The sequence below is a fragment of the Homo sapiens genome, chromosome 21 (genome assembly GCF_000001405.40).
Source record: "Homo sapiens chromosome 21, GRCh38.p14 Primary Assembly".
Taxonomy (NCBI): Eukaryota; Metazoa; Chordata; class Mammalia; order Primates; family Hominidae; genus Homo; species Homo sapiens.
This window is the reverse complement of record NC_000021.9, coordinates 9,759,081-9,770,514: the sequence shown is the minus strand read 5'-3', so window position 1 is coordinate 9,770,514 and position 11,434 is coordinate 9,759,081. Positions and strand designations below refer to the sequence as shown.

Sequence of the window (11,434 nt, the reverse complement as noted above, 5' to 3'; positions counted from 1 at the left end):
GGTCTGTTCTTGGTGAGCCAAACTGCCTGAATGAGTGATCATTTGGGTCATCAGGAACTTGACCATATTGCCTGTCAGTTTTGTTTCAACGGCTCTTCATGTTTCAGTTCTTTTGCAGGCCCCCTCCTTTTCGAAGATCTTTCTTTCCATGCTTTTGTCCGACTTCATGGCTCCCCGCTCCCCGCATCACGCCGTGGTTGTGCCTGGATGCGTGACGATGCACTGACCACATTCTGCGGCAATCACTGTTCGTGAAGCTGCCTCCCCTCCTAGACTGAAAACTCTTTGAAGATGGGACCATATGGTTTCTATCACCAAAACCAACACAATAGCAAAGAGTAGGCATTTGATAAGTGTTTATAAAAGGAAAACACACAAATAATACTTGTCTACCCAAATAAGTGATTGTATTTTTCCAGATGCATATGATCAAAACCCACAAGTGTCTGTGCTTTGTAACCGTGTCCCCAAGCCCTGGGCTCAACAATACAGCTAACACAACTTACTGCATTTGAGTGTAAAGGTTAGTGTATAGCCCTAGGAAAGCATTTTCACCCACAGTATGAGTGGTGCATATTCACATCCACTGTGACAGGTCCATGCATGTTATCACCCTGAAGACCTTCCAGTGGGACAAGATGTGGAGGTGGAAGGCAGTGCTATTGATGATCCCGACCCTGTGTAGGCCTAGGCTAATGTAGGTGTTTGTGACTTTGTTTATGATGAGCTAGTTTACAGAGTCAAAAAAAATTAAATACAAAAAGGCTGAAAGAATAAAGATATAAAGAAAGAAAATATTTTTGTACAGCTGTACAATGTGTTTGCATTTTAAGCTAAGTGTAATTACGAGTCATTTTTGTAATTAAAAAGTTTGACATTACAGTAAGCAAAGGTTAATCATTATTGAAGGAAGAAAAAGTATTTCTTATAAATTTAGTGTAGCATGAGTGTCTAGTGTTTATAAGGGGGTGCACAATAGCATCCCAGGCCTCCACATCCACTCGCCATTCACTCAGAGACTCACCCCAGCAACTTCCAGTCCTGCTAGCTCCATTCGTGGTAAGTGCCCTATAAAAGTGTACCATTTTCCACTTTTTATACCATGTTTTTACTGTACCTTTTCTCTGTTTATTATGTTTAGATACATAAATACGTACCATTATGTTCCAGCTGCCTGCAGTGTTCAGTAGCGTCCCCTGCTGGGCAGGTGTGTATCCCGGGAGCAACAGGCTGTACCATGTGGCCCGGGTGTGGAGGAGGCTGTGCCGTCTGGGTTTGTATGAGTGCACTCTATGATGTTCACACAACGGCAAAATCACCTAAGGATGCATTTCTCAGAACGTATTCCCTTCATTAAGTGACACGTGACTGTGCATATAATTAGATTATTCTAGAGGTGACTAAAATTACTATTTGGAAATGTTAATTAAGCAACACATGTGACAAATATATACCAAGATTTCTGTGAAATTCAGCCCTCCGTGGCTGAGGTCCGCAATACACAGCCGTCTCTAAGTACCTGGCTTGAGAGTTCCCGCAAGACAGTAGCCTTGGATTTGGCCTCTGTGTACCCTATCACCCTGCACAGTTTCTGATACATTGAAGGCTTCCAGTAAAGGAAACACTAACACTTAATAGTATGTATGAGGAATCCAGAGTTCTTTGTTTATTTACAGTTTTAAACAATGAAGTCCACAAAAACTAAAAGAGTAAGAGGTTGCCTGTTTATTAAAAGCAGCATTCTATTAGGAAAGCATGTATGTACTGCTGCTGGTGCCTTTGCCGACTTTGAGTGTGTGTGTGCGTGTGTGTGTCAAACTGTGGGAGTGAACTGCAGCACACAAATCACCACCCAGAGGGGGCTTCTCCAAGTGCGCAAGCTCAGCAGAGGAAGCCTCAGCCCTGCGGAAGCTCAGGGAGGGTGAGGGCGCGAGCTCAGCAGAAGAGGCCCTCAGCCCCCCCGAAGCTCAGGGAGGGTGAGGGCGCGAGCTCAGCAGAGGAGGCCTCAACCCTGCGGAAGCTCAGGGAGGGTGAGGGCGCGAGCTCAGCAGAGGAGGCCCTCAGCCCCGCCGAAGCTCAGGGAGGGTGAGGGCGCGAGCTCAGCAGAGGAAGCCTCAGCCCCGCCAAAGCTCAGGGAGGATGAGGGCGCGAGCTCAGCAGAGGAGGCCTCAGCCCCGCCGAAGCTCAGGGAGGATGAGGGCGCGAGCTCAGCAGAGGTGGCCTCAGCCCCGCCGAAGCTCAGGGAGGGTGAGGGCGCGAGCTCAGCAGAGGAGGCTTCAGCCCTGCGGAAGCTCAGGGAGGGTGAGGGTGCGAGCTCAGCAGAGGAAGCCGCAGCCCTGGGGAAGCGGAAGCTCAGGGAGGGTGAGGGGGCGAGCTCAGCAGAGGAAGCCTCAGCCCTTCAGAAGCTCAGGGAGGGTGAGGGCGCAAGCTCAGCAGAGGAACTCTCAGCCCTGCGGAAGCTCACGGAGGATGAAGGCGCAAGCTCAGCGGAGGAACCCTCAGCCCCGCGGAGGAGCCCTCAGCCCTGCGGAAGCTCACGGAGGGTAAGGGCACAAGCTCACCAGAGGAAGCCTCAGCCCTGCCAAAGCGGAAGCTCAGGGAAGGTGAAGGCACAAGCTCAGCAGAGGAAGCCTCAGTCCTGCGGAAGCGGAAGCGGAAGCTCAGGGAGGGTGAGGGTGCAAGCTCAGCAGACGGAGCCTCAGCCCTGCGGAAGCGGAAGCTCAGGGAGGGTGAGGGCGCAAGCTCAGCGGAGGAAGCGTCAGTCCTGTCCAAACTCCGGGAGGGGGAGGGCGCAAGCTGAGCAGAGGAAGCCTCAATCTTGCCGAAGCGGAAGGTCAGGGAGGGCGAGGGCGCCAGCTTAGCAGAGGAAGCCTCAGCCCTGCGGAAGCTCACGTAGGGCGAGGGCGCAAGCTCAGCAGAGGAAGCCTCAGCCCTGCCGAAGCGGAAGCTCAGGGAGGGTGAGGGCGCAAGCTCAGCAGAGGAAGTCTCAGCCCTGTCGAAGCTCAGGGAGGGCGAGGGCGCGAGCTCAGCAGAGAAAGCCTCAGCCCTGCGGAAGCTCGGAGAGGGTGAGGGCACAAGCTCAGCAGAGGAAGCCTCAGCTCTGCGGAAGCGGAAGCTCAGGGAGGGTGAGGGCGCGAGCTCAGCAGAGGAAGCCTCAGCCCTGCGGAAGCTCAGGGAGGGTGAGGGTGGAGGCTGGGAGATATTTCCTCACAGCTCCTCTTGTGCCTTCTCTCTCTTCCCTCCCTACTTGACCCTGCCCACTCCTTCAGTCCCTCATTGTAACCCACTGTCTTTTCAAAGGTACATCATTCTTACATTTGGATTTTAAAATGTGTGACGAAAGCTAGAATGCAACCCAGGAGCAGGAGCTCTGCACTAACAGCAGAGGGCTCCTTCTGGTTTCCATGTTCCACACACCTTTTTCATTAGGCCAAAAGTCACCAAGGATGCAATGGGAACTGGACTATGCTGTTCCCTTTGACAACATGATTTCACAGAGTGCTTCCTGCGCCGATGCAGAGAACTTTCGCCAGATTCGTGAGCAATAATGGTATGAACAGCCATTAATTAGAGAGGGAGATTAGCTTAAACAAAAGGGGATTAAATTTAGACCCACTCATTATCTTTTCCACTGTTAGCTCTATTGAACTCCATTGTGGGTGGGATAAGAACAAGAGAAATGGGGATTGTGTGGAGTATGAATCAATTAACACATATATGCCTGCTGTGTGCACACATTGCCCTTTAAGACATAAAGAAAAATGAGACATGATGGTATAGAACATACACACACAGCGGTAAAGACGAAAAAGACAGACTCAGATTCCACCTTTTTCTTTCTTGATTATGGAACGTTGTTTTTTCTCTATACTTAGCTGTAGCCCCTCTCCTCCTCTCAAACATAGAGTTCTACATAGAAACTTTTTCTTCTGCCCTAAAATCAGTAAGCTCTCTTGGGACAGTTTGCAAAGTATTAGATTTTACCCAATTAGAATTGTTCGCATAGGGCATGGCAGAGTGGTTCTCATTCCTATCAGACCAAGGCCCTCTTTAAGACATAAAACTGTTTGTGTTTTACCTTGAAATGAAATCATTAGATAATGTAATTTACCTGAACACAAACTTTAATAGCAACATAAGAAAACTCTCAAGCATTGTTTATATAATAGTGAACATAGCTGCTTTCCAAATTACAAAAAGAAAACAAAAATCAATATAATGCCCCAACAGTGAATATAGAAGAGAAATAAAAGGAAGAAAAATAACATTTAAGGAATAGTAAGTGTATATTTAATTTCTCTGATTCTTCTCTTTGTTTCATACAAGATGGGTAATTTTTAGATTTTCTCTTATTGAAATGATGAGTAGTCGATTGTCTTTAAAATACTTTAACATACTATTAACCAGAAAATCAAATGATAATAATTTCTGCACCTTTGCCGGGACACACACTTTTTTGATCATCAGATGGACTTTTCCCCATGAAAAATGTGCAAATGCACACAACACTTACACACAAACGTTTCTGTATGTTCTGTGACCTAGACCCCCTGGCATCCCAATGACGAGGACTTCAGCATCACTTTCAAATGCAAACTGACTATGCTTACTACACCCTTCCTTCCATTGTCCATCATTCAAACTGACTATGCTCACTACACCCTTCCTTCCATTGTCCATCATCCAAACTGACTATGCTCACTACACCCTTCCTTCCATTGTCCATCATTCAAACTATGCTCACTACACCCCTTCCCTCCATTGTCCATCATTCAAACTGACTATGCTCACTACACCCTTCCTATCATTGTCCATCATTCAAACTGACTATGCTCACTACACCCTTCCTTCCATTGTCTATCATTCAAACTGACTATGCTCGCTACAGCCTTCCTATCATTGTCCATCATTCAAACTGACTATGCTTACTACACCCTTCCTTCCATTGTCTATCATTCCAACTGACTATGCTCACTACACCCCTTCCTTCCATTGTCCATCATTCAAACTATGCTCACTACACCCTTTCCTCCACTGTCCCATCATTCAACTAGACATGTATTCAGATATTTAAGGTTATCTATAAAGGTTTAATTTGTTTTTCCTAATGTCTGTCTACCCCTTCCCTCAATTGTCCCATCATTCAACTCTATACATATTCAGATATTTAAGGTTATCTATAAAGGTTTAATTTGTTTCTCCAAATGTCTCTGTACAGGTGCAATATTAAGAAATTGTCATCTAAAGTCCATATTTTTAAAAATCATTATAAATATATAGTAATTTTATGAGCACACCAAAGTACAGTAATTCCTTCTCAACATGGTTCTCTTTATGCAAAATTCGAATGGGTACAGATTTCTGTTTTAATCCCTTTTTTTCTTAAATGTGGGAATTATATATATATATATATATATATATATATATATATATATACACACATATACATATTAATCCACTCAAGTTGCCACCATGTCGTATAATGGAATATCTCTCCAGGTTGAAGAGATCTCTGATTATTCATCTCTGTCTTCATTCTCTCTGTTGCCATCTACCCAACTGGTAATATATTATCTTTAATTTTATTTTCTTTTATTACATTTCATTGTGTGTTTAACTAGTCATTTAACTAGCATTTATATAGCATATATGTGGGGCTTATTATATGCCAGGAATTGTTCCAATCACTTTACTGATACTAATTCATTAACTCCTTCCAATAATTTTATGAGATAATTGCAATTGTTATCTCGGTTTTACAGATGAAGCAACTGAGGGACAAGAGGTTAAATAATGTGCCCAAGATCGTAAAGCTAGTTACCACCAGAGCTGTAATCATAGCTGTAATCAGAGCCCAGTTAGTCTGGCTCCAGAGTTAGTCCTTAAAATCGATTATCACTCACTTTTCTGTTGTGTGTGTGGTGTGTGTGTGTGTGTGTGTGTGTGCTCACATGCTGCTTAGGTAGTCCCCACGATATTGACCAGGAAGTGAATTCTGGATTTTAGTTGTTTTACGCAGGAAATGTCATGCTGTCCTTTAGAGAGACCCATTACATCTTGGACCTAAACATGAAACTCTCTTTCTGCCAAACAGGATTTAAAATGCCGATCCAATGACCATAGAATAGAATGTGCTCATGGCGGCTGAGGAAATGCAGAACCAGGGAGAGTATTGGAAAGAGTCCTCTAATTAGATAGACGGAAAACTGCAGCATCAAAAAACACGGTATGATCCTTAAGACGTGTGTTTAAAAAAAGATTCATGAAAATAAACTGGTAAAAAACACTAAACACTTTAAGGAACTACTTTGAATGTGTACAGAAACAATAGGCCTTCCAATAAAGTTTGGTTGATTTGCTACAAGTTTGTAAAGATATGAAAAGGTTCCAATACGATGTTACTAGCGTCCTTTCTTGGAAAGAACCTAGAAAGCATGTTCAGGAGCATGGGATCCCCTTGCAATGCTGTGTGCTTAGATTCTATGGATCTTGAGTATAAGACCCTGCATGTGCGTGAAACTCCAACACTGCACCCCAGCCAGCCTAGGGAGTGAGATCCATGTGCTGCCGGAGGAAGAGGTTACAGAGAGTTAACTTTCCCAGTAATAGTCCACAAATTTCCCTTCCTGCTCCCTCAACACTCATACAACCTCTGATCATTATCATAAAGTCACCTTGAGAATAAAAGTAAATGTGAATCAAACTTATGGATTTGTAACAGGAAAAAATGTGGCAATAGCCTGATTTTCACTATCCCTCCCAAGAACAAATAATAAAATCCACGAGAAGGGCAACCATATTCGTAATCCACACCCTCCACATAACTGAGAAACCAAGGGCTGTGATCTTCATATTACCTTTAATTCCACTGGAGCTCCCACTGCCCACCCAATGCCACAAGATTCCATGAAAAAAAAAATAGAGTGAAGTGATGCACTCAGACAAAGCACAGACAATCTCACCTCAGAAGGAGGTGCAGGGTACAGATACTTCACGGGACTGGAGGCAGGGAAGAGGCTTGTAAATGTGCAGGACCAAAAGCGGTAAGCCCCATGTTTCACCTACGGGAGAGTCAGACATAAGGAAAAGAGGGGCACCCCTGGGAAGGGAGGCCCTGAGGGACAGAATAAAAAAGTGAAACCTGAGTATCCTGCAGAGACAAAAGCAAAACAAAAGCACTAATCCTTCTCCACAATTGTCCAATAAGAAAACAGCGCATTCAGGGGGCAGAACCAATAGAAAAGTTCATACTGAAATCCATGCAAAATGGATACAAAGAGGAAAAACAAACCACACCCAAATGGAACTACCCTAAAACAATTAAGGTAAAGCAAACCATTTTTGCTGTTACCCAATTTAAAAAATACATGCACACAAACAATAAATCTGTAACACAACACTCCAAAGTGAATTAAATATCCTCAAAGAAGCATTTGGAAAGACAAAGGCCACTGTGAGCCATAAATACAAAAATAAGAACAGAAAAAAGATAAATATTTATATATATGTAGTATATCTGTATTTAATTTTGTTGATTAAACTCAGAATAAAAATAGGAGAAAAGGAGATGTTTTGAATAGAAACTAGATTTTGCCTCATCAAAATACACTGTAAAGCCTGTAAAACTAAATTAGTGTGGAATTAGTGTATGAAAAGGCCAATGGGATGGGATAGAATAGAGAATCAAGAAATAGATCCATCTCCAATGGAAATCTGATATACTCTAATGGTTGTACTCAAATTACTGCAGCAAAGATGGTCTTTTCACTAAATAAAGTTGAGGCAACTGAATAATAATTTAGAAAAATACATAATTAGATCAGTTCCTTACACCATTCAAAAGAATATCATCCCAAGTGTCAAAGGTCTAAATGTAACAAAATTATACAAGTACCAAAAAAAGTTGAATTTAACCTTTTAAAAAATGCATATAACATAAACTTTACCATTTTAATCATTTTTAAGTGTGCAATTCAGTGTCATTAAGTACATTCACAGTGTTTACAACTGCCACCACTACCTGTTTCCAGAACTTTATCATCATCCCAGACAGAAACTCTGTACCTCTTAACCTGGGTCTAGGGGAGATCTTCTGACTCTTACTCAAATCCAGATGTGATAAGCACTGGTAACTGATTATTTAACAATAAAATGTTGTACAGGGCAAAGTTGAAAGACAAATAAACTATAACAAAACATTGGTAACCTAAATTCCAAAAGGAGGAAATGTTAATCCTCCTTTTAAAAAATATTTTTAAAAATAGAGGGAAATGAACAGCACTTCTATATGAATGAACAAAAGATAGGAAAAGGCAATTTACAACCAGACATATAAAAGAACCTGAAAGTATATGGAAAGATTTTTCAAGTTCCCTCATAATAAGATAACTGAACATTAAAGCTACACTGCGATACAGGCTCTTACCCATCAGATGAGCAAAAAAATCGTTTGACAGTGCATACAACTAGTGAAACTGTAGGGGGAAAAGTCCACTCACGCACTCTTGGTGGGAATGCAAAACGATACAGTCCCTATGAAGGAAAGCATACACACACACACACACACACACAAATACATATATACACACATACATATATACATACATATAAACACACATATATGCATATAACACATATACATATATACTTATGTATACATATATACATATATACATGTGTATATATACACATATATACACATATATATATTATATGTATTTTATTTTTTTACATGGAGTTTTGCTCTTGTTGCCTGCGCTGGAGTGTAGTGGCGCGATCTCAGCTCCCTTCTGCCTCTCGGATTCAAGCCATTCTGCTGTCTCAGCCTTGTGAGTAACTAACTGGGATTACAGGAGCCCGCCACTGCGCCTGGCTAAATTTTTTTGTATTTTTAGTAGAGACGGGGTTTCACCATGTTGGCCACGTTGGTCTCGAACTCCTAACCTCAAGTGATTAGCCCGCCTTGGCCCTCCAAAGTGGTGGGATTACAGGCATGAGCCATTGTGCCTGGCTAGAAAGCAATATTGCATTTCCATTTACCCTCATTCTAGCAACCCCACTTCTGGGAAATTCCCTGGAAAAACCTCTTCCAACCACGCTAAAGTACACATGCATGAGGGCGTAACTTGTAGCATGACTTTTACTGCAATCGTTTGGAATTACTGAAGTGTCCAAGCATAGACGATTGGCTGAATAAACTACAGTACATACACACAATGGAGTATTTCGAAACTATAAAAATGAATGAGGTTGATCTCTGCAAAAGGAAGTAGAGCAGTTTCCAAGAGCTATTATTAAAGGATAAAAGGAAAATGCATGAAAGCATATGCTACCTTCATGTAAGAAAAATATATGTAAGATAAAAACACACAGGTGTATAGTTTTGCAAAAAGAAACATAAGATTAAAAAAACAGCAAACAATCTAGTTGGTTATCTAGGAGGGTAGAGAGAACAGAGTAGAAGTAATGCAGGAGGGGGACACTTCTCTGACTATACCTATAAGCAAAGATACCCCAACAGCAGTAAGCACATCTGAGACCCAGATCGTCAATACTCTTCCCCACTAAAAGGAACCAGGGCTTCTGAGAGAAATAGCCAATTCCAGGGCTGGGACAGGAAAACTGCAAGACGAGCCTGGAATACCTTTCTATGCCATATATTAAGGAAGTGTTCAAAGGATTGATGGGGCATTTTGTAAAACTACGGGGAGAAATTTGAAGGGACTTATGCTGGCTAAATTTGGGACAGTTTGAGCACCAAGAGAACTAAAAAACATACTAAATTACCCATTGAACAATTAAGAATCCATGTGCTTTTACGGATAATAAAGAGCATTAAACGAAGACATACCTTAGTAGGAGGAAGGAGGGGGGCTCTTGCTCACACTGGAGCACCAGGTGTTGACCTGCTAAACATGGAGAAAGTAGGAGGAAGGAGGGGGGCTCTTGTTCACACTGGAGCACCAGGTGTTGACCTGCTAAACATGCAGAAAGTAGGAGGAAGGAGGGGGGCTCTTGCTCACACTGGAGCACCAGGTGTTGACCTGCTAAACATGGAGAAAAGATGGGAGTGAGAGAATCATGGTTTTTCACTCATCACAGTAAGCCTTAGTTCAGGTAAGAAGCATCAGTGGATGCCAAATTTCAGGGGAAATCTTGATGAAGCATGGGATATTTTTATAGTTTTCAGAACTTAGGATATTTCCCACAGATTATTGATTGCAAGAGAAAACACGTAATTTTATCATGGAGAAACTGGACACCAAGTTGACATCTTAACAACATCAGCAGCACTGATGAGGGACATTGTGCGTCCCCAGCTGCGAGGCCCTGAATACAACCCAGCATCATGTCGGTACTACCGCAGCGTCACGTTGGTACTATCGCATTCAGGAACACAGCCTGTTTCTGGTCACGGGAAAACTGCAGACAAATCCAAAATGAGGAATCATCTTCTAAAAAGGGAGGGTTATATTGTTCACAAGGTTAATATAACAGTAAGAAGAAATGCTGTGAAAAAGTTTCAGAATAAAGGACACTAAAGAGGCATGACAGCTAACTGCAATCCTCTCTTAACTGGAGCCCGTCCTGAAGGGAAACAAATCCTAGTAAAGATATTATTGGGTCATTTGATGAATTAGATCTCAGACAGCAGGTTATATACGAGTATATGAGAATGTGTATATATTATATGTTGTAAACATACAAATATGTAAAAAGAAATGCATATACAAATAAGTGTAGAGGTATATAAGTATACATATAAATATATGTGTGAGAAAAAATAATTAAAGAATTGGTATAATATTAACACACGTAGTGAATCTGGGTAAAGTGTATAAGTGTTCTTTGTATTTTCATTGCAACTTTTCTGTAAGTATTGTTCTCAAATAAAAAGTTTAAAAAAATAAATATGTAGAAATGTGTTATTATATGGTCTCCATTATTTGTAATTTACAACCTGTTTCATTTTATTTTACCAAATGTAAATTTAAAAAAAATAATCCCACACACTCCCTATGCTAATGTTTCCTTGAATTTTTGTCATTCTGATCTTATCTTTCCACTCCATTCTACTTGTCCCCAAAAAGACTTAGTTCCTCAGTTATGATAGTTACATCCTAAAGATTTTTAGGAACCTATAGTTACGTTGCTACAAATGGATTACCATATATTCTGGTTCTTTGGTTATTGTTTCTCAGCTTTGAATTTGTCACGGTCAGATGCTGAAATTAGGACTTGACAAGCTTCCCTCCTTGTCAACGGCATCCAGGTTGGTCCTGCCAGGGTCAGGAGCACCGGAGGGAGCCTGGGAGGCAGGTGGTGGGAGAAGGGACCGGTTCCTACTGGCGTTGTCATCTACCCAGGCTGCTCAGCAATGCCCTTCACCCTGGCAGCAGCGGTCAGTAGCCATAACATCAGTTCCCATGCCTGG

At 42.1% G+C, this 11,434-nt stretch overlaps 1 long non-coding RNA gene across 1 annotated transcript; it reads left to right on the top strand.

The window, feature by feature from the left end:
• The first annotated feature begins 5,488 nt into the window (after positions 1 to 5,488).
• LOC124904997 (uncharacterized) lies at positions 5,489 to 6,364 on the top strand. Its single transcript, XR_007067818.1, has 2 exons — positions 5,489 to 5,562; positions 6,095 to 6,364. It is a non-coding gene; the product is annotated as an uncharacterized LOC124904997 (long non-coding RNA).
• The last annotated feature ends 5,070 nt before the right edge of the window (positions 6,365 to 11,434 follow it).